General features: G+C 36.3%; 1 annotated feature.

Annotated features, from left to right (window-relative positions):
• Positions 23,636-24,352: an enhancer, noted in NCBI's record as "NANOG hESC enhancer chrX:142252945-142253661 (GRCh37/hg19 assembly coordinates)". NCBI's record gives its function as "activates a minimal SCP1, AML or CMV promoter by ChIP-STARR-seq in naive H9 embryonic stem cells {active_cell/tissue: H9 hESC(naive)}" and the evidence as "EXISTENCE:reporter gene assay evidence [ECO:0000049][PMID:30033119]".

The following is a 25,412-nucleotide window of genomic DNA, read 5'->3' on the forward strand; positions in this document are numbered from 1 at the left end:
TTTTGGTCTTACTTTCCCAAAGAGGAAACCTCTGGGTGATGGGCATACTGTTTATTCCCATCACCCAGAAGTATTTGCAGGATAATTGCTCACAACTAGAATATTAATCCAGATTTCTACATTATCCATCACTTTTGTTCTTTTTGAGCTGCAGCTGGAGATTACTGGTTGGTTCACAGTAACAAGCAGGGTTACTGCAAAATGTAGGCAAAAAGTTTAAAACAACTAATGAGTCTAGATTTTAATGACAAACATATAAGGTTTGAAACATAATTTCTTTCTCTCCAGTCGTTATTTAAAAAAATAATCATGATAAGACTGAGTTGCTTGCAAAATAGACTAGTCTTATAATTGGCCTGCTTATTTTCATTAAGCACAGCAAGAATAATTATTTCTACAGTGGCCTTTTACATTGGCTTTGATGGAACTCTGTTCCACAAGGAATCTCAGGTAAGACCTTTGAAAGCTGAGCCCAGCCATGGGTTTGTATCCTCCAATACCTGTGAGTTGGGTGATCCTCTCTTCGTAAGGTCCCAAGATAAACTTGAGGGTCCTGGGCCTGTCAGAGAGTTACATTTTTTTACTTACTACAGGTCAGAAACCCTGTACAGGGACTGCATAGACAAAAATACAAGGCTAGTTTTTCCAAGAGGCTCTAATCAGCTTTTCAGTTCAAGCTTGACTCATTAAAGGGTAGCATACTATTTCAGTCAAAGCCTTGATAAAACACCAGTTTCTCCACTTGCATCCTATTGCAAAAGAAAATGGATTCTTATTGCACTGATCCAAACAAGCATACTGCCTTGAGTTAAGAATAGTCACAACTAGTGTCCAAATTTTAGAGAAGTCAGGCAGAGAGGGAGAAAAACATGCTCCAAATTTTGTTCACATGAGTATAGCTTACTCAATTACTAGAGTCTGTAAGTAGTTCAAAAAAAGTTTCCTTGATTCTGAAAAACAAAACAAGGATCAGCAATGTTCTAAACAAAAGTCAAAAGGATTACTCTAGTTTCTATTAGTTCAGTCCATTCAGTTAACCTGTTTTGCTTGATATTTGTGAACATTTAAGCTCTTCATGAGTCCTGTACCTTTTCCTTTACTCCAATGTCACAATACCCAAAGTTATTAGAAACCTGCCTTTGAAAGCACCAGTCAAATTTCTATAGTTTATTACAAACCATCTTTTTAAAAGAATTAAAACAAGACACCAACTGTCTGTATAAGAAAATATCCAGGGTAGGTACAGTTAGAAATACAATTAACAAAAAAAAATTTGATTATCTTCATGGTTTACAATAACTTAACATAACAAGTTTAATTATGATTTGATAGCATAGACATTAGAATTTTAGAAATCTCATACAATTTTAAAACATATATTAGTATTATTCACCAAAATATAACCTAAAGAAGATTGATTTTGGCAATGTCATGTACCTAAATATGTCAAATAATTCTGTTACCTCTCTTTTGGATATTCCTGGGGCCCTCTGTAGCATCCAAAAACCAGGTATCAGGAAAGACAATTTTGAAACTGAAGTTAGATTTTGGGAAGCCTGTTAAATATGTTACAGGTTTAGAACACTTGATGTTTTTAAATAGAATTGCAGGTTACCGTAAATTATTGATTTTGCCAAAATGATGACTCAGAAATTTTCAAAAAGCAAAACCCTTTTATAACCCTTTACAAATTTTGCTAAAGAGAAGATTAATGCCTTTAAAAGTACCATGTTGTGTTTTTAGTTCAATGTTTAATTTACAGAAAAATTATATAATACCCTTTTGAATTTAGTCAATATTTTTACACATGGAATTACTTTTGCAAGATTAATTTTTACAAACCTTTCATCATTTGTTTAAACCTTCAACTTTATTTTATCTATTTCAAAACAATCCTTTAACCCTAAGCAAGAATGCAGATGATGTAATATTATATTTGGAAAAACCTAAAGACTCCACAAGAAAATTATTAGAACCAATAAACAAATTGAGTAAAGATGCAGGATACAAATTCAACATACAAAAATCAGTAACATTTCTATAGACCAACAACGAATAATGTAAAATAGAAAATAAAAAAGTAATCCTATTTACAACAGCCAAATATAACAGTAAAATACCTCTATAATGTAAACTACAAAGCACTTATAAAAGAAATGATGAGGACATCAACAAACGTTAAAATATTCTATGGTAATGAATTGCAAGAATAAATACTGTTAAAATGTTCATACTACCCAAAGCAATCTGCAGGTTCAAGACAATCCCTATTAAATACCAATGACATTTTTCACAAAAAGTGAAAGAATAGTTCTATACTTTATATGGAACCATTAAAGAGCCAGAATGGTCAAAGCTATCCTGAGCAAAAAGAACAAAATTGTAGGAACCACATTACTTGACTTTAAATTTTACTACAGAGCAACAGTAACCAAAACAAGATGGTAATGGCATGAAAACAGACACATAGACCAATGGAACACAATAAAGAATGCAGAACAAAATCCACACAACTACAGTGAACTCATTTTCAACAAAGGTACCAATAACATACACCAGGAAAAAGGCAATCTCTTCAATTAGTGATGCCGGGAAGATAGGATATCCATAGGCAGAATGAAACTAGACCCCTATGCAAAAATCATATCAAAATAAATTAAAGACTTACATGTAGGACCTCAAACTATGAAACTACTACAAGAAAACTTTGGTGAAATTCTTCAAGACATTGGTCTAAGTAATAATTTTTTGAACAATACCCCACGAGCACAAGGCTACCTAAGCAAAAATGGACAAATGGGATCACCTAAAGTTAAAAAGCTTCTGAACAGCAATGGATACAATCAACAAAGTGAAGAGGTAACCCACAGATTAGAAGAAAACATTTGCACAGTACCCTCTAACAAGGGACTAATAACCAGAATATATAAGGAGCTCAGAAACTTTATAGGAAAACAAATATAAAAATCAAATAAAAAATAAACAGAAGACTTGAGTAGGCATTTCTGAAAAGAAGACATACAAATGACAAAGAAGCACATGAACAGATGTTTAACATCATTGTTCATTAGAGAAAGGCAAACGAAAACTACAATGATATATAATCTTAACCTGGTTACAATGGCTTATATCCAAATGACAGACAAGAACAAATGCTGGCAGAATGTGAAGAACACTTATACACTGTAGGTAGGAATGTAAATTAGTACAAACACTATAGAGAACATTTTGGTGGTTTCTCAAAAACGAAAAATTGAGCTACCATATGATTCAGCAATCCCATTGCTGGGTATGTACCCAAAAGAATAGAAATTTATACATCAAAGAGATATCTGCACTCCCGTATTTGTTGCAGCACTGTTTACAAGAGATAAGATTTGGAAGCAACCTAAGTGTCCATCAACAGATGAACGGATAAAGAAAATATGATACATATATACAATGGAGTATATTCAGCCATTAAAAAGAATGAGATGTTGTCATATGCAATCACATGGATGTAACTGGAGACAATTATGTTAAGTTAAATCAGCCAGGCACAGAAAGAAGAACTTCAAATATTCTAACTTATTTGTGGGATCTAAAAATTAAAACAATTGAACGCATGGACATAGAGCATATAAGGATGGTTACCAGAGGCTTGGAAGTGTAATGTGAGGCTGGATAGGGGACATGGAGATGGTTACTAGGTACAAAAAAAGTCAGAAATAATGAATAAATCTTTCTAATTAATAGCACAACATGCTGACTATAGTCAATAATAACTTAAATGTACATTTTAAAATAAAGGGTATAATTGGATGGTTTGCCACTCAATCAATGGATAAATTCTTGAGGGGGTGGATATCCCATTCTTCATGATTTGCTTATTTCACATTGCATGCCTGTATCAAAACATCTCCTATACCCCATAAATACATACACCTACTAATTATCCACAAAAATTAAAAATAATGAGAAAAAAAGATAAAAAAGGCATTATATAATGATAAAAAATCAATCCAATGAGAAGGTATTACAATCCATAACTATATGCATCTAACATTGTAGCTTCCAGATTCATAAAACCATTACTAATAGACTGAAGAAATAAAATAGGCAGTAAACCCAATAATAGTGGGGGACATCAATACTCCACTGGCAGCACTAAACAGGTCATCAAGACAAAAGTCAACAAAGAAATGATGCATTTAAATGACACTCTTGAAAAAATTGACTTAACAGATATTTAAATAACATTCTACCCGCAAACTGAAGAATATACTTTATTGTCATCTGCACATGGAACATTCTCCAAGACAGACCATATGACAGGCCACAAAACAAATCTCAATCATTTTTATAAAAGTTGAAATCATATCAAAAATTTTCTCAGACTACAGTGGAATAAAACTAGAAATCAACTCCAAAAGAAGCCTTCACCATTATACATGTACATGGAAATTAGGTAATATGCTCCTGAATAATTTTGGAGTTAACAGTGAAATCAAGATGGAAATTTGAAAATATTTGAAATGAATGATAATGGTGACTGATATGGTTTGGCTGTGCCCCCACCAAAATCTCATCTTGAATTGTAGTTCCCATAATCTTCACCTGTTGTAGGAGGGACCCAATGAGAGGTAATTGATCATGGGGGTGGTTACCCTCATGCTGTGATTGAGCTCTCACAAGATCTGACGGTTTTATAAGGCACTTTTTCCTAATTTGCTTGGCACTTTTTCTTGCTACTGCCATGTAAAGAAGGACATGTTTGCTTCCCCTTCCACCATGATTGTAAGTTTCCTAAGGCCTTCCCAGCCATCCTGAACTGTGAGTCAATTAAAACTCTTTCCCTTATAAATTACTCAGTTTCAGATATGTCTTTATTAGCAGCATGAGGACAAACTAATACAGTAAATTGGCACCAGGTAGTGGGGTGCTGCTCTAAAGATACCTGAAAATGTGGAAGTGACTTTGGAACTGGGCAACAGGCAGAGATTGGAACAGTTTGGAGGGCTCATAAGAAAACAGGAAAAGGTGGGAAATTTGGAACTTCCTAGAGACTTGTTGAATGGATTTGACCAAAATGCTAATAATGATCTGGACAATGAAGTCTAGACTGAGGATGTCTCAGATAGAGATTAGGAAGTTGTCGGGATCTGGAATAAAGGTGACCCTTTTTTTTTTTTTTTTTTTTTTTTTGGAGATGGAGTCTTGCTCTGTCACCCAGGCTGGAGTGCAGTGGCATCATCTCGGCTCACTGCAAGCTCCGCCTCCTGGGTTCACGCCATTCTCCTGCCTCAGCCTCCCAAGTAGCTGGGACTACAGGCACCTGCCCAGCTAATTTTTTTGTATTTTTAGTAGAGACAGGGTTTCACCATGTTTGGCTAATTTTTTTGTATTTTTAGTAGAGAGAGGGTTTCACTGTGTTCGGCCCACCTTGGCCTCCCAAAGTTCTGGGATTACAGGCATGGCCACCGTGCCCGGCCCAAAGGTGACTCTTTCTATGTTTTAGCACAGAGTCTGGTGGCGTTTTTTCCCTGCCCTACAGACCTGCAGAACTTTGAACTTGAGAGAGATAATTTAGGTTATCTGTCAGAATAAATGTTCAAGTAATGAAGTGTTCAAAAGGTGACTTGGGTGTTGTTAAAGTCATTCAATTTTATGTATTCACAAAGATCTAATTTGGAATTGTAACTTTTGTTTAAAAGGGAAGCAGAGCATAAGTTTGAAAAATATGTAGCCTGACAATGCGACGAAAAAGAAAAACCCATTTTCTGAGGCGAAATTTAAGCCAGCTGCAGAAATTTGCATAAATAATTTGGAGTCAAATGTTAATCCAAAAGACAAAGGGGAAAATGTATCCAGGGCATGACAGAGACCTTTGTGGCAGCCCCTCCCATCATAAGCCTGGAAGTCTAGGAGAAAAAGAGAAATCGTTGTGTGCATCCTGGCCCAGCCATGGCTAAAAGGGGTCAAGGTACAGCTCAGGCATTGCTTCAGAGGGTGCAAGCCACAAGACTTGGCAGCTTCCACATGATGTTGAGCCTGTGACTGCACAGAAGTTAAGAATTGAGGTTTGGGAATTTCCACCTAAATTTCAGAGGATGTATGGAAATGCCTGGATGTCCAGGCGGAAGTTTGCTGCAGAGGCAGAACCCTCATGAAGAGCCTCTGCTGGGGCAGCGTAGAAGTAAAATGCTGAGTTGGAGCTCCCACACAGAGTACCTCCTGTGGCATTGCCTAGTGGAGCTGTGAGAAAAGGGCCACTGTCCTCCAGACCACACCATGGTAAATCCACCGACAGCTTGCACTGTGCACCTGGAAAAGCTGCGGACACTCAAAGCCAGCCCACGAAAGCAGCAAGGAGGGCAGCTGTACCCTGCAAAGCCACAGTAATGGAGCTGCTGCCAAGGCTATGGGAGCCCACCTCTTTCATCAGCATGACCTGAATGTGAGACATGAAGTCAAAGGTGATCATTCTGGAACTTCAGTTGAATGACTGCCCTGTTAGATTTCAGACTTTCATGGGATCTGTAGCCCATTCATTTTGGCCAATTTAGCCTATTTGGAATTGGTGTATTTACCCAATGACTTTACCCCCACTATACTTAAGAAGTAACTAACTTGATTCTAATTTTACAGTCTCATAGGCAGAAGGGGTTTGCCTTATCTCAGATGAGTCTTTGGACTCAGATTTTTGAGATAATGGTGGAATAATTTACAACTTTGAGGGATTGTTGGAAGGGCATGATTGTTTTTTGAAATGTGAGGACATGAGATTTGAGAGGGGCCAGGTGCAGAATAATATGGTTTGGCTTTGCCCCCACCCAAATTGGATCTTGAATTGTAGTTCCCATAATCTGCATGTGTTGTGGGAGGTAATGTAATCATGGAGATGGTTACCTTCATGCTGTTCTCATGATAGTGAGTGAGTTCTCACGAGATTTGATGGTTTCATAAGGGGCTTTTCCTTCTTTTGCTTAGCACTTCTCCTTGCTGCCACCATGTGAAGAAGGACAGGTTTTCATCCCCTTCTGCCATAATTGTAAGTTTCCTGAGGCTTCCCAAGCCATGCTGAACTGTGAGACAATTAAACTTCTTTCCTTTATAAAGCTACCCAGTCTCAGGTATGTCTTTATTACCAGCATGAGAATGGACTAATGCAGCAACACAAGTTGTCAAGACCTCTGGGATACAGCAAAAGCAGTGCTAAAAGGAAAATTTATAGTGCTAAATGCCTACATCAAAAAGTCTGAAGGATCACAAATAAACAACCTAATGTCACACCTGAATAAATCAGAAAAACAAGAACAAACTAAACCTAAAGCTAGCAGAAGAAAAGAAATAACACAGATCAGAGCAGAACTTAATAAAATTGAAAAAAAACAAACAAAAAATGTTACAAAAAAATCAATGAAATGAAAAGCTGGTTCTTTAAAAAGATAAACAAAACTAGGAGACCATTAGCTAGTTTAACCTAGAAAAGAAGAGAGACGATTCAAGTAAGGTTCATTAGAAATGATAATGGAGTCATTACAATAAACACCACAGGAATACAAAAGATCATTTGAGACTACTATGAACACCTTTATGTCCACAAACTAGACAACCTAAAGGAAATGGATATATTCCTGGACATATAAAATCCTCCTACATTATATCGGGCAGAAATAAAAACCTTGAAAATATGAATAACAACCAACAAAATTGAAACAGTAATAAAGATATTGCCAACATAAAAACCCCAGGACAAGTTAAATTCACAACTGAGTTCTACTAGTTATTCAAAGAAGAATTGGTACCAATCCTACGAAAATTATTCCAAAAAACTGAGAAGAGGGAATTCTCCCCAAATCATTCTATGAAGCCAGTATCACTCTGATACTAAAACCAGAAAAAAAAATAACAAAAGAAGAAAAAGATACAGCTCAATATCCCTAATTAACATAAATGCAAAAAGCCTCAACAAAATACTAGGTAATCAAATCTATCAGCACATCAAAAAGATAATACATCATAATCAAGTGGGTCTCATCCCAGGAATGCAGGGATGGTTTAACATATGCAGTTCAATAACTGATTCATCACATAAAGAGAATTAAAAACAAAAACAAAAACAATATGATCATCTCAATAGATGCAGAAAAAGCTTTCAATAAAATCCAGCATCCCTTGATGTAAGAACCCTCAACAAACTAGGCACTTTCCTCACAAGGTAAGGGACTTATCTCACAATAATAAAGGACATCTATGACAAACCCACAGGCAACATCATACTGAGTTGGGTAATGTTAAAAATTCCCCCTGAGAACTGAAACAAGACAAAGCTACCCACTTTTAACACCTGTATTCAATGTAGTACTGGAAGTCCCAGCCAGAGCAATCAGGCCAGAGAAAGAAATAAAGTGCATCTAAACGTGAAAAGCAGAAGTCAAACCACTGGTGTTCCACAATGATATGATAGTATACCTAGAAAACCCTAACAATTCCTCAAAAGACTCCTATATTTGAAAAATGACTTCAGTAAAGTCTCAGGTTACATAATCAATGTACACAAATTCATAGTACTGCTATAGAGGAGCAACAACCAAGCTGAGTATCAAACCAAGACCTTAATCCCTTTCAAAACAGCTGCAAAAGACTAAAATATGGAGAAATACACTTAAACAGATAGGTGAAAAACCTCTACAAGAAAAATTACAAAACACTGCTGAAAGAAATCATAGATAAATCAAACAAATAAAAACACATTTTATGTTCATGGATTGAAAGAATAAATATTTTCAAAATGATCAGACCACTTAAAGCAATCTACAGATTTAATGCAATACCCATCAAAATACCAATATCATTTTTTTACAGAATTAGGATAAACAATCTTAAAATTCATATGGAATCAAAAAGATCCCAAATAGCCAAAGCAATTCTAAGAGGAAAAACAACAAATCTGGAGGCATCACATTACTGGACTTTAAATTATACTACAAGGCTATAGTTACGAAAAAAACATGGTACTGGTATAAAAATAGGGAGACATAAAGACCAATGGAACACAATAGGGAACCCATGAATAAAGCCAAACACTAACAACCAACTAATCTTCAACAACCAATACAAAAACATAAACTGGGGAAAGGACATCCTATTTATAATGGTGCTGGGAAAACAGGGAAGCCACATGTAGATGAGTGAAATGGGACCAGTTTGTCTCACCTTATACAAAAATCAACTCAGGATGGATCAAAGACTTAGGTCTAAGACCTGAAACCCTAAACATTCTAGAAGATAACATTGGAAAAACTCTTCTGGACATTGACCTAGGCAAAGAATTCATGAATAAGACCTCAAAAGTAAATGCATCAAAACCAAAAAATAAATTAATGAAACCTAATTAAACTGAAAAACTTCCTCATAGGCAAAGAAATAATGGAGTAAACAGACAACAGAGAGAATGGGAGAAAATACTTGCAAGCAATGCAGCTGAAAAAGGACTAATTTCTGGAATCTACAAGGAACTTAAATCAGTAAGAAAAAAAAAATTCCCGTCAAAAACTAGGCAAAGGATGTAAATAGACATTTCTCAAACTAAGATGTACAAATGACTAACAAGCATAAAAACATACTCAATATCGCTAATCATCAGGGAAATGCAAATTAAAACCACCATGAGATACCACTTACCTCTGAAAAACGGCCATAATTAAAATGTCAAAAAACAATAGATGTTGGCATGGATATGTTGAAAAGGGAATGCTTGTACACCACTAGTGGAAATGTAAATTAGTACAACCTCTATGGAAAACAGAATGAAGAAGTTAAAACCCAATTTCTGGTGCCCTCAAGGCATGGCAAAAACTTTTGAAATTAGCATATTACAGACATATTTATCATGGCTGCTTTATCTAGTTTAATATGTTTTAATTATTTGTTGGTGAAATTCACATCTTGAGATAATTTTATTATATCAAATACAAGCTTAAAACTCTAATAAACAGGAGAGAACAAGGGTGAATTTATCTCTAATATGTCACTACTAAAATAAAAATAAGTAATGTGCTTCCAAATTACCTTCAGAGCTTAGTTTTAGATCACAGATAATTGGTAAATGGGCTTTTTAGATGAAACTCATTTATTTGGGATTTCCATGGATTATCTATCTCTGTATTTTTACAGGATTATGATTCTCTGTTACAGCCTATTTTGTTCTAAGTATTTAAGACATCAAAGGAGAAGAAAATGATAGCCATTTCTTGCATGCAAGAATCGGGGAGATTATTTAGGGGACCTTTGTTCCCATGGATCCATTGATGGCTGTTACAGGAAGCTTTCAGGTCACCAAGCCTGGAATTCGCTAGACCCAGGTAAAGTCCACACTACTCTCAAAATTTTCATGGAGTATGCTCTAAGTCCCGTTTTTCAAATGATTGACAGAATGATAGATTTTGCTTAAATTTACAACATTGAATTCAAAATTACTGAATTCAACAATCTGGAATCAGTTTTGGCTGTTCAGTGTTGCCATAGCTGCATGTGAAATTGAGAGTGCATAATCAAAGTGTATTGCCTTCCGCCCCAAATTAACATACTAATGCCCTGTGCCAACAGCTTTGCCTTCAGACTCTGATTTTATAAGTAAGTGAAAAATGTCCACAACTTAAACTGTGGCTTTCATTTTTAATTTCTTTGAATTTCTTCCATTCCTTGAATCAATCAAGGATTCCTTAAATACCTACTTCACGCACACCATGAGCAGAATGAAATGAAAAGGGTACTACCTCTGGCAATTCAGATCTATTCCCATGAAGAGCACTAAATACAGAGAAATAAAACTCTTTGGGACGTCGCTTGTCTAATCTGTATTTAGGAAGATCCTATGCACCCTTCAGTGTCTAGCTGAGATTGTCATATTACTTTTGTTGTGAAGGCCCATTCAGTTTCATTGCTCATTCGACAGTTTGCACACATCACAGATTGCATCTTTTCACATTTGTAGTTTAATTATATAACTGAGGAGAGTAAAAAGTATGCTTTTAAAGCTGGTCAGCTGCCCTCTTCTGGGGAGAGTACTGTTTTTATTTGGGAAAATAACTTGACGGCCACTTAATATGTAAAAGATAAAGCCCCATTCCACCCCCATTCTGCCCCCAGACCTCGGCTACTTTAAGGCACTTTGAGAATGGGCTAGGCAGAGACAAATAAAAGAGCTGAAACATCCAACTTAATAAAATGCGAGGAGCTGTGGATATTATTAAACACTCTACAGATATTTCAGGGTGAAACTGCTGATAATTAAGAAGAGATATAGGGGCCTTGTGCGGTGGCTGATGCCTGTAATCCCAGCACTTTGGGAGGCCGAGGCAGGCGGATCACGAGGTCAGGCGATCAAGACCATCTTGGCTAACACGGTGAAACCCCGTCTCTACTAAAAATACAAAAAGTTAGCCGGGCATGGTGGTGGGCGCCTGTTGTCCCAGCTACTCCGGGAGGCTGAGGCAGGAGAATGGTGTGAACCCGAGAGGCCGAGCTTGCAGTGAGCTGAGATTGCACCACTGTACTCCAGCCTGGGCAACAGAGCGAGACTCGGTCTCAACAACAACAACAACAACAAAAGAGGAGATATAGGGACAAAGAAAGCTCAGCAACATGACAAGAAGACAGGGATCCTGAGAAGCAAAATCAGCCACTGCAGAGTCCCTTGTGATCAGAAAGGCCATGAGGCTTAAACAACAGAGATGCTGATACCGGCTTTTAAGTCAACTTCTTTTCTGTTCTGTAACTTCCTGTCTATTACCCATGAATCTTCTGTATACTATACACATCTGCTTTGAGAGAGAGGTGTTTGTGTAAATCAAGGAAAGAATGTTAAGTTAAGGGTTGATAGAAAACAGGATACTAAGTTAAACTTGAATTTCAAACTAAAATTGAAATTAAAATTAAAATTGTAATTCATTTTAAGTAGATTTTTAAATCTCTGAAATAAGTTACATGTAGAGAAAAAGCAAGAGTCACAAGAAAAAATAAATGTAGGTAATACAGAGAATTCAGTGTAAGCAAGAAAAATGTAGCCGGAAATAATTAGGAGATATGTAAGTACTCTGAGGTGTTGCAGTTGTGGGAAGCTTTACTTTTTCTTTATAAGTGAATCGGAAGCATTTTTAATTAAATATTCAAGGTAAAGGTAACCCATAAGGCTAGAGAACATGGAGATCCCTAGCTGATAGAAATCTAGGTTATAATTAATTCAGTTTTCTGTATATTATTACTTTCAAGCCTGGCTCTCACACTAGAGGGCATTCCCAGGGGGCTGACCTTCCCTCAGTTGTGAGGGAAATCAGATATAGTCCCCACATGAACAACAACTGAGGTAATACAGAAAATCATAGTTCCTCTTACACTTTTTGTTCTGAATCAAGCCAAAGTTCTGCAGTTAGAATAAAGATATTTCTGAGGGCTCTGTTCTGTTCCATTGATCTATATCTCTGTTTTGGTACCAGTACCATGCTGTTTTGGTTACTGTAGCCTTGTAGTATAGTTTGAAGTCAGGTAGTGTGATGCCTCCAGCTTTGTTCTTTTGGCTTAGGATTGACGTGGCGATGTGGGCTCTTTTTTGGTTCCATATGAACTTTAAAGTAGTTTTTTCCAATTCTGTGAAGAAAGGCATTGGTAGCTTGATGGGGATGGCATTGAATCTGTAAATTACCTTGGGCAGTATGGCCATTTTCACGATATTGATTCTTCCTACCCATGAGCATGGAATGTTCTTCCATTTGTTTGTATCCTCTTTTATTTCCTTGAGCTGCATATCTACAACTATCTGATCTTTGACAAACCTGACAAAAACAAGCAATGGGGAAAGGATTCCCTATTTAATAAATGGTGCTGGGAAAACTGGCTAGCCATATGTAGAAAGCTGAAACTGGATCCCTTCCTTACACCTTATACAAAAATCAATTCAAGATGGATTAAAGACTTAAACGTTAGACCTAAAACCATAAAAACCCTAGAAGAAAACCTAGGCATTACCATTCAGGACATAGGCATGGGCAAGGACTTCATGTCTAAAACACCAAAAGCAATGGCAACAAAAGACAAAATTGACAAATGGGATCTAATTAAACTAAAGAGCTTCTGCACAGCAAAAGAAACTACCATCAGAGTGAACAGGCAACCTACAGAATGGGAGAAAATTTTTGCAACCTACTCATCTGACAAAGGGCTAATATCCAGAATCTACAATGAACTCAAACAAATTTACAAGAAAAAAACAAACAACCCCATCAAAAAGTGGGCAAAGGACATGAACAGACACTTCTCCAAAGAAGACATTTATGCAGCCAAAAAACACATGAAAAAATGCTCACCATCACTGGCCATCAGAGAAATGCAAATCAAAACCACGATGAGATACCATCTCACACCAGTTAGAATGGCGATCATTAAAAAGTCAGGAAACAACAGGTGCTGGAGAGGATGTGGAGAAATAGGAACACTTTTACACTGTTGGTGGGACTGTCAACTAGTTCAACCATTGTGGAAGTCAGTGTGGCGATTCCTCAGGGATCTAGAACTAGAAATACCATTTGACCCAGCCATCCCATTACTGGGTATATACCCAAAGGACTATAAATCATGCTGCTGTAAAGACACATGCACACGTATGTTTATTGGGGCACTATTCACAATAGCAAAGACTTGGAACCAAGCCAAATGTCCAACAGTGATAGACTGGATTAAGAAAATGTGGCACATATACACCATGGAATACTATGCAGCCATAAAAAATGATGAGTTCATGTCCTTTGTAGGGACATGGATGAAATTGGAAATCATCATTCTCAGTAAACTATCGCAAGAACAAAAAACCAAACACCGCATATTCTCACTCATAGGTGGGAATTGAACAATGAGAACACATGGACACAGGAAGGGGAACATCACACTCTGGGGACTGTTGTGGGGTGGGGGGAGGGGGGAGGGATAGCATTGGGAGATATACCTAATGCTAGATGACGAGTTAGTGGGTGCAGCACACCAGCATGGCACATGTATACTTATGTAACTAACCTGCACAATGTGCACATGTACCCTAAAACTTAAAGTATAATAAATAAATAAATAAATAAAAAAGATATTTGTGGTCCCATAATAAATTTGAGCTTGTGGACATCAGAGACATTCAATATTGTTTCTGGGTAGAACTCTAGCAGCTATCAGCAGTGGTGTCTCTGCTGGGAGTGTGGTGAGCACCATGAGGTATCACTCATAATGTATCAAGAGGAGTTTTCTTAATTTTATTTGCATACTCATTTGCAAATAGATGTGCAGATGTGTGTTACTTTCAACATCTGGCTGTAGGTTCCATTTGTTTTTCCTAAGGTTACTTTTACTTATTTTCTCTCCAAACTTTTTTGTTATTCTGTTTACTGTTTATTCCCTGTCCCAGATTGGGAGATGACACCAGAGATGTGGCTCAAATTCATGTAACTTATCAACCAAAATTCTTAATTATCCTCCTCTCTTTTATCTATCCTGTGTATAATTTTGATGAGGCCAGAATATGACTTAATGTGTTATAAGGCTTATGTGCAGGGACGAACTGCTTAGCTAGTAAGTGATTCTAGCCATCTGCCCAGTATACCCTTCTTAATTCACCTGTCTTCCTCATAGCAAAGTCTGCATATTTTGTAATGGAATTAACATGCTATTGAGGAGTTGGTAAAAGTCCTGAGATGCTTTATTTGTAAACAATAAGACTTAATGTATAGTGTGATTATTGTTATAATAGACAGATGTTGTCATTTCTATGATTGAGAAAGGGACACTAAACTCAGGCTAGACAAGATAGCATAAAGAAATTGCCCCAGAGGAGAATATCTGTGTGCCAAGTCATGAAGCCACCTTTAGAAGGAGAAGTGAGTGAAGCAAAAAAATAAATAAATAAATAAAAAATAAAAATAGAAAAACTGAAGGAACTTTCATGTAGAGTGAACAGCATAATCAAAGAGCAGACAAGACAATGAAAGAACAAAGATTATTTAGAGAACTGCTAAATTGGTATGAAAGTATTTTGAGAGCATGAAGAGGAAGTTGTGTGAGGTTATAGCAGATGCAGGTAATAACTATATGAAGGTAGTATTTATTGAAGAGGTAAGCTATAGAGAAAATTGGCTAGAGATTTCAAAGTCTGCATCAAGAAATCAAAGCCAAAACATCTTTTCCTGCAATTGTTGTTGCTATATCAAGATATCTATTTGGGCACAGTGAAAACAGACAATGGAGACAGTTCATTTGAAAATTTTAGGCCAAAAAAGGGGGAAAAAGTGCTTCCCCTTTCCCTCTCAGCAGCATGATTAGTTTTGTCTTGAAAGATATGTGCTTTTGTATCGATTCTTCAATATTTCACGTTTTTGACTGGCCAGCCCAAAATGACATTTCACACTTTAAAATGAAAAACATCTAGTTTGAACCTACAATGAGAATAATTTCTGCCTATCACAAGCCTTCTGTGCATCATAGGTGACCAGCAATGGCTGGCATGTGTCAGAGGCCATGGCATTTAGAAATATCATCTAAATGTCTCACACATTCCAAATAACAAGGGTCCAATCTATAGTCTAGTCATCGGTACTTAAAAATGTATCAGTTACATTAATTATAGTAAGCAGAAAACTTCTTTGAAGTATGCCAACTTGTGTTTATCTGAAAGAGCCTCATATATGGTATTAAGAGGATATCAATTTAATATATCTTGCTAGTTACAAACTCCATTGCATGAAAATCTTTGAGCCATAACATATCACAGGCTAATTATGAAAATTGATTTTTTAATTTGCTCCTCACTAAAATTACTCAGCTATTGTACATTATTTGCTTAGAGTGATTTTTGCCATGTAAAATAGTCTTTTCTTATCACCAGAGTCAGCTCCAGTAGTTTCAAAGAGTCAGAGAATTGTGACAAGTTGAAGAATTCAACTTTTCTTTAATACTCACTTTAGTACAGAGAATTCTGAGTGAGGAGAAGGGAGAAGATTATACACATAGTAGGCTCACATAGGTTTCTAAATCATTTATCGATAGAAATAATTATATATCATGAGATACACCCCTTACAATCATGTCAGTTAATACAGATGATGGTAACAAAAAGCCCATAAACAAAATAATGGGATGAAAGGTGCTTTTTCAATTATCTCATCCTATCTCCCACTTAACACAGCACCTATGAACATTAAGTCCCTACATTACTGCTACAAAGTGGATATCAATATTCCCATTTTACAAATGATAGAGCTGAGCTCCAAAGAGTTTAAGTAATTTACTCAAATCTCCTAACTGAAAAGTTACAGATTTAGGCTTCGCATTTAAATAGTCTGAACCAGACACACATGTTTTTCCATAATATCTGACTCCCAGCAAATTGCATATTCACTTAATCTGCAATTGTCTTGTCTGCTCTTTGATTATGCTGTTCACTCTACATGAAAGTTCCTTCACTTTTTTTTTCTTTTTTTTTTTTTTTTTTTGCTTCACTCGCTCCTCCTCCTAAAGGTGGCTTCATGATTTGGTACAAAGATATTCTCCTCTGGGGCAATTTCTTTACACTATCTTGTCTAGCCTGAGTGAGGATTCAGGGTGAAATGAGGCATTTGGCCAAATGCCCTATGAAAATAACATTTCTCTGTTTAACAAACTCGTAATGTTATCAAAAAGAAAGTACACCTACTTGGGTAAATTATTCTTAGCCCAAGCTGATACTCAGTGATTATTTTTTTCTTCCACATGCTTTCTTAAAAAATATAATACTAATTATTATATAAAAGTACACAGCATTTACTCTAACCAAGACACTGTTTTAAGCATTTTATATTAATTTTTACAATAACTTTATGAGATGGGCATTATTATTATCATTTTAAAGATGAGGAAAGCAGGTAATAAGAGGATTAAGTCACATGGCCAGAGCCACGCAACTAGTATATAGCAGAACAGAGATTAGAACTGCGACAGTCTACAGAATCCATGTTTTAATGGCTATGTTATACTGCTGCATGTAACCATATGTTTAATAATTTTTTCTACAATTTGGACATGGACTGCTTTTATACTTAGTGATTTCTATTTTCCAGACTCCATTATATTTCTCTTTTTGATAAAAGGAGCAGTACTTGTTCACTTCCAGTCTCCTGGTTATTCTCTAACATTCTACAGCTTCTCAAGGGTGAAATTGATGATCTATTCAGACCTCTGTGTCTGATTCCATTATGTGCTGCTGTAACAGAATACCTGAGAATGAGTAATTTCTAAAACATAGATTTATTTTTTATCATTCTGGAGGCTGGGAGGTCCACATCTGGTAAGGGCATTTTTGCTGTGTCTTAGCATGGAAGAAGGTGAAAGGACAAGAAAGCGTGCGCATGCATGAAGAGTGAGAGAAGAAAAAAGAAGGGAAGGGAAGGGAAGGGGGCCAAACTCATTGTCATTATCAGAAACTCACCTCCATAATAACAAACCCACTTGCAAAATATAAAGGCATTAATCCATTCATGAGGAAAGAACCCTCAGGACCTAATCACCCCTTAAAAGTTCTACTTACCAACGCCATTGCATCAGGGACTAAGTTTCCAACATATGTATTTCAGGGGATGCATTCAAACCATAGCACTCTATAATGCATCTGTATACAGAGCCTTTAAATATTTTAAAGGGTTTAGATACTGGTTCAGAAATTTCTTGTCCTTCAATTCCCTCTTATGTATGTTGATCCACTCTTTCCAGTTTTAAGATTATTCTCTTTGATGTAGAAACACTTCAGAAATTGCACAGTCCTGCTCTCTTTTATCTCCATAAGTCTTTACCAAATATGGGGAATAATTCCCTGTCTGTCTGCAATGTGCAATGTTCATCAGGGTTTTACAATTGTGAGAAAAAAGGCATGGGTTTCTGTCATTCAAGTAGTATTACAGTCAGGAATCCAGGCATGTCTGAATCCTCTTCTGCCAGGCAACCTTCCTCCCTTTGGGGAAGCACATGTGCATGTGAGCACATGTGTGCACGCGTGCACGCACACACACGCACACACAATGGGGGGAGAGAGAGAGAGAGAGGATAATAGTAAACGAACAAAATGACACTCCTTGATCATTAGCTTCACAAGTGCCTGAAGTGTCTGACTTTTCTGAACAGTGCTTCTTTGCAATGTTTTATTGAACACACATCCTCTCCAAAATAATAATGAGGGCTTCTAGTGCCTCCAAAGTCTAACTTCAAATCTGTTCACTTACGTCTCTATGATTGCCACATAGGACAAGAGGCAGAAGTAATTTTAATTAGTTTAGCACATCATAAAAATTTTTCCTGTGTAGTGTCTGTACTAGTAAACAAGAAAAAAAGAAAGATGTGTTGAATGGAGGAAAGGTTACCTCCCCTGATGTAATGATTTTCTGCATGAGCTCGTTAGACCATTTCTTAAGTTGGCTCTGTGACTCTTAAATCCATTCTCCATGCAAATACCAGAAATATTTCTTCTAAAGCACATCAGACTGTAATTCCTCTTCACCAGAAACTTCCATGGCACTCTGTTCAGTCAACAGTTTTATAGGAATGAGAGACCATAGTGGCTGCAGCAGTGATAATAGTAGCATCAGCTGCGGCTCCTTGACCTCTGGATTGCAGTGATGGTGATAGGTCCTTGAAATCAATAGTCCAGTGGCAAACATCCAAATCCTGTTCTTCCAGTTGTTACTATAGTTTTAGAAGTATGGAGTTCCATTTATGAAATATATTTCTGCTTTAAATACCTAGAATGGTTTCTGTACACTGACTTACTGACTTATGGGCTAATAAGCAATACATTAATAGACTAAGATCAAATAACTTGTAACAGAAACGATAATGCCCCACTATTGTTAGACCCACCTCAGAAGGAATCTCTATTGGGCATTTGTGTTTAGTTCTTATGCTTACCTCCACAACACTAAATAGTAAGTTTATAATGCTATTTCTTGATTTATCAACTTGAAAAAATGATGAATATATTTACTTATACTACTTGAAACTTTCCATCCCATCCTTCTTCCAAATATTGGTAGTTTTATAGTCGTGGTTACGTTTCTAAGCTTACATCAGATGCACAGACCTCCATTTCCTGTTCCATTACCTTTAACAGTAAGTAGTCCTTAATGTCCCATTAGGTAAAACTAGGATGTTATTGTCCCTCACTATTTTTGCACTTTTTATCCTGCTTCTCATGGCTTTATTTCTGTCTGCTAGCATCCCTGATGCTGCAGTATCACATCCAATCTCTCTAGAGAAAAACTTCCTGTCATTTGTTCAAAAGTCCATTTGGGATTGCCTGTTACTCTTTCACTCATCACTCTATAAGAGTAAAGAAGTTGACACTAAATAAAATTCTTAAAGTTATTCTGTAATAAATTTCCAATAATCCCCATGTTTTTAGCATCACTTCTAAACTCTGCTACCTGTACCTGCAAACTCCAAGACTAGAACTAGAAAATTGATTGGTAGTCTCTGCAGTCCTCCTTGGGCTGTTTCTTCTTCCATTTGACTTCATTTACCAATATGTTTCCATTTTCAGTCTTCCAGAAATTTGTGTAAATGCCTTAACCACTAGTAGTGCCCTTCCCATTCTCTTCTGTTTAAGGAAGTTATTCCTGTATTAGTTATGTATCATCTCAAATGACATTGTATAACAGCAAAACACAAAGGCTCGCTGGTATACAACCATAAACATTTGCATAGTGGTGTTTTCCCTGGTAATCATCCGATCTAAGCAGGACTCAGCTGATTTTAGTTTGGCTTATCTTTCATTTGTAGTCAGCTTCAGGTGCACTAAGTGCTAATCGGCTGGGCCTTCTCCTGTATATGGGAGTAGACTGTCAGCAGGGCAAATCTACTCTGCTCTATGTGTCTCTCACTTGTTCCAGCAGGATAGCCAAGACGCATTCTCAGGTCAAAGGTAGAGGTACAGGAGCAAGCACACTCAATTATGCAAGCATTTTTCAAACCTCTTTATATGTACTAACATCTCATCTGCCCAACCAGATTACATGGCTAATTCTGGAGTGTGCACAGAAGAACACTAAAAAGTTACAGGGTAAGATGTGTGGAGGAATAAAGAACTAAGGTCATGAATTGAGTTACTCTATCACATTTTCTTTTTGCATTGTTTTATCCTCATGTTAATGGTGTCCCTGGAAGGAAGGCACATGTGAATGCTCAGTGCATCAAGTTCGCCTGGAAGACTTTATGTTCTTTCAGGTCACAAGTCATTACCAATGCTGATTTCTGAGCCTAGAGTGCCTCTTTTCCTCTCTTTATCTATTAATATGCTAACCATCTTTCAAAGACCAGATCAAATACCATTACTTAATGGAAGCCTTCTGTAAATGACATAAATTGTTTTTGCCTATTTATTATCCATTCCCCATGCTCTGATAATAGAACTTCAGTTTCACTGTAGAGAAATGACTCTTCCTATTAGTCTTTAGAGTTTCTGGTGAGACAGAACACATTGTTCAATTTAAGTGGGTTTGTGATCTGGCCAATTGGCATCAGATCCGTTGGTGATAGTGATTGGTTCAGATATAGGCACATGAATTAAGCTGGTCTATGTCAAAGATAATACTGTAACTTAAGCTAAAAATAACAAAAAAAGAGGCTTATGCTTTTCACTGGAATTATGAAGCTATTAGGCTATAGTTCTGAAGCTTTTGTTGGTCATCTTTCTCACAACATGGGTAGAGTAGCTACTGAGTAAAGGCAACACACACACAAAAAGTAGATCTAAGTGATGGAAGCATAGAGATTGCCGAAGTCATGATGTAAATATCTAGATCTAGACATAACTCATATTTTCAGTTTGTTTCAGTGCTTTTCAATACCCTTGGGCATTCCAACTACTTGAACCAATAAATATCATTTTAACTTAGGCTCACCACTTTAGCACCAAAAGAATTATGAGTATTTTCCCAAATGCCTGCCTCTGTTTTACTATGGCTATTAAGTGCTCATCCCTTGAGCCTTGTTCCCTTCTCTCCATTCTCTACTTTGAAAATTATTAGTAGGGGGAAACATCCAGTAAGGTTGTACAGAATTATCAGAAGGGAGAGATTTTTCCACCTGCTTTTCCCTTCTCTGAAGATTCTAACATGCCCTTCAGTTGCCAATTAATTCTATAATGAACTAGTACAAAAGTAAGTTTATTTGGTCTCTCAGGTGTTTTGTGATGGTGGTGGGTTGAAAATTTAAGAAACCCTAACAATTATGTATTTTACAGCTTGCATTACAACTGGCTATTTCTAAATTAATATTTATTTGTGTTTGAAAAATATCTGATGTTTGTTCTAACCCGGAAGCTTCATGTTGACAGTGCCTAAGTATGTTTTGTTCATCAGTTTATCTTCAGGTCCTAAGACAGTGTCTGGCACATATTGGGGAGTCAGAGCATATTTGTTGTATGAGTTAATGCAGAAAATTGATTCTGTGTTTTATTTATCTCTATACCTGCATATAAATTAACTCAATAACTGATTCTTAAAATAAAAAATAAGCGACATGAGCCACAAGTTTATTACTTTGCGTCCTATGACTAGCACACACTCCTCCTCTTTATTCTGATCCTCTCTCTGCAAAGACATTTATAAACATATTTAGCAGTATTATGGATTCGGAGCTTCTCGAAGACAGCTTACCTGAAATTTTTTGATGTATTTATTCTTGATTGTGTGCCTGTTCTTGTATTTTTTACTTAAATCCCTTTTAAATTAGAGATCTTCCTGTGAAGCTTCATTTGTTTTGCTTAAAGCTTTCTCTTTTGTAACTTTAGTGGACCGATCTTTCATTTAATAGCCCAAACTGTATTTCTCCAATCTTCTTTTATTGCTTTAGTTTCACTACCTTTTAGAATTTCAGACTATTAAATTACAGTGACCTTTTCTATGACATTTCTCATCTGAAAGTCACAACCTCCACCTTATTTCTACACTGCCATCATTAGGAGACAAGAGGGAGCCTTAGAGTTTCTAATCTCAGGATCAAAACATCTCTTCTCTGGTTTCCTCATATTGTTTATTTAAGAGGAAGGCTTGCAACTCTATGTGCTGCAAAGAAGATTGTTTTCTTCTAGCCTCCAAACTGCCCTTAAAAGAGTGAAAAAAATGTACATGCAACATGGCTGAATAGAGGCATCAGACATCAGAAAAAAGAACCAAAGTTAAAGGTGAATAATCATAACTCAAATAAAATATTGAGGGAAGGGTGTTTGGAACTTTTAGAAGAACTCATGGAAATAAGGTGGGCACAAAAAAAGCAGAAATCAAGAGTTTGGCAGAGATCAAACTGAGAAACTAGGAGTCCCATGGAAAGAGTAGGTGGAGATATTTTGGGGGCTCCCCTCAACCCTGTAGCCAACTACTGGTTTCTGATCTACCAGAGAACTCCTCTGCCCTTGCAAGCTCAAGCATTGGCCTGGAGATAGAAAGCAGTGTCTTTTTGAACTTAGAGTCAAGAGCCCTGGAAAAGAAGTGGAGAGAGGCAGATCTTGTTCCTGTCTGCTCAGGACCTGGAAATGGTACAACCACCTTTGTCTCTATGGAGACCTTGGTGCATCTCCCCATGAGCTTCCCCTGCCACTTCCATCAATATTGGTGGTTATGCTCATCATTGGGGTATCTGAAAACAAGATTGGTGGTCCAATTCGACCCAGCTTTGGCCCCCTCTCTGGAACTTATGAGAGATCTCAGGGCATAAGGCATTTCACAGATCACCCCATAGCCTGAGACAACAGAGAGCTCTTCCCAGTAAATAAATATCAAGCACATACCCACCTGTGTCTGCCACAGTTGGCTCTGACCTGTAAGCACCAGGCTTGAGGTTGAACTACACAATTCAATAAAAAACCTACTAACAGAAGTGCACTGTGCTGGGTAATGAGATAAACTGCCCAAAGCTTCCACAATCCCAGTCCTACAGAAGGTAATATGTCTGCTTATATGCCAAGTACATTGCTAATACAACCAGCATTGGAGAAAGCCACTTCACAAAAGTTATCTATAACTAAGGAACTGATACAGGGCCTTGGCCCCCTGAAAGCATTCAGAATTGAAGCCAAATGACCAAACACAACATACATTACAGTCATAACCTCAAGAGGGTATAAAAATGTACCATCCAAATGCAAGTAAATTCAAAAATAAGAAGTGACAGTTTCTACAGATGGGATGTAACCACTGTAACAATTCTGGTAGTATGGAAAAATAGGGTGTTATGACACCCCTAAAGGACCATACTAGCTCTCTAGCAATGAATCCTAACTAAAATTAAAACTCTGCAGTACCAGGTAAAGAATTAAAGAGATGGATTTTAAAGAAACTAAGAAAGATCCAAAGAATGTTGAAAATAAACACAAGTAAATCAGAAGAACAATTTAAGGTATGAATGAAAAATTTATACTAAAGGAATATATCTTTAAAAAATTTTGAGTATGAAAAATTAATTGAAGGAATTATAAAATAAAATTGAAAACATAAAGGTAAACTAAACCAAGCAGAGGAAAGAATTTTAGAGGTTGAAGACAGGACTTGAATTAACTCAGAGAAAAATAAAGATAAAATAATTTAAAAGATGAACAAAGCCTTTGAGAACTATGGGATTATGGTTAGTGTCCAAACCTACAAGTTACAGGTATTCCTGAGAGAGAATAAGAAAAAGTTAAATGTCTGGAAAACTATAGGAGTAAATAATTGAGAAAAACTTCCATGGTCTTAGTAGAGATTAAGGCAAGCAGAGTAGAAGTACAAAGGACTCCTGGAAGATACATTGCAAGACAAACTTCAAAAAGACATGTAGTCATCAAACAACCTAAAGACAAGAGATTGAAAAAAAAATCATCAAAGCAGCAAGAGAAAGGCCTTTAATTACCTGTAAAGAAAACCCCATTAGAATAACAGTAGACTTCTCAACAGAAATCTTACAAGCTATAACATTGGGGTTCTATTTTCAGTCTTTTTAAAGAAAAAGCTGTCAGCTGAGGATTTTGTATCCTGCCAAACTAAGCTTTATAAATGAAGAAGAAATAAAGTATTTCCCAAACAAACAAACATTGAGGGAATGTGTTATCACTAGAGTGGACCTACAAGAAATGCTCAAGCAGCTCTATACATGTAAACTAAAGGTTGACATTTGCATGATAAAAGCACACAAAAGTGTAAAACTCACAGGTCTTGTGAAGCAACTAAACAATAAAAACTTCAAAGCAACCAAGTAACAATTAATATTATTACAGGAAACAATCTCACATACCAATATTAATATCAAATGTAAATGAACTAAATGTTCCAATTAAATGATATAGATTGGCAGAATAAACAAACAAATAATATCCAACAATATGCTGCTTAGAAGAAACCTACCTAACTGAAAATGATACTATGAGACTCGAAGTAAAGTGGTGAAAAAAGATATTCCACACAAACTGAAACCAAAAGCAAGCAGGAGTAGCTATACTGATATGAGACAAAACAGACTTTAAATCAACAACAGTAAAAAATGACAAGATTATTATATAATGATAAAGGGATGAATTAAACAAGAAGATAGAACAATCCTAAATATAGATGCTGTTTATTCTTCTTAATTATTTGATGGAGTTAACAAGTGAAGCTATCACAAACCGTATTTTTCATTGTTCAGAGGTTATGATTACTAATCCAATCATCTTCTTATTGATCTGTTCATATTTTCTATTTATTCATGATTCAATACTGGTAACTGTATGTTTCTAGAAATGTGTGCATCACACTGGTAATTAAAAAAATTATAAGTGAAAAAGTCAAATAGCAACTGGTAAAATTACTTGTAACGTCTTTGCATGCACTTATGAGCACTCTAGATCCATATGTATTAGAGCAAATTTTCCAAATAATTTGAACCTCATAAACTAAGAGTAACATGTTAGAATGAAAATGTGGAATCTGAAAATTTTGAGCATACATATTAGAAATCTAAGGCCTTTTCTCAATGATTGCTATGTTAAAATTTCTTTGTAACTTTGCTGGTTCAATTATGTAATGCCTAGACTGTAAGTTGATGACTTTGAGGTCAAATGGCCAATGTAGAAAGTCAAATAATAGGTTACTTTGGTGAAATAAGTCATACAAGTTTAGATGCTGGGGTATGGGGAGAGAATTAACCAAAATTCTCAAATAGTCTTCAAAGTATCCTAAGTAATTAGTATTAGATAAAACTTTTTACTTAGCTTGCTGGACAACTTTGTGATAACTAAGCTCAATTTACCTATTACATATTGCTATCACCACAGGGCCTTTTAATGTTGCTTTGGTGAGAAGGAAGTTATGTAATTTAATGGCTTACACTTTTTACCAATGAAAACATCCCATATACAAATATTC

This window comes from Homo sapiens, chromosome X (genome assembly GCF_000001405.40).
Source record: "Homo sapiens chromosome X, GRCh38.p14 Primary Assembly".
NCBI classification, from domain to species: Eukaryota; Metazoa; Chordata; class Mammalia; order Primates; family Hominidae; genus Homo; species Homo sapiens.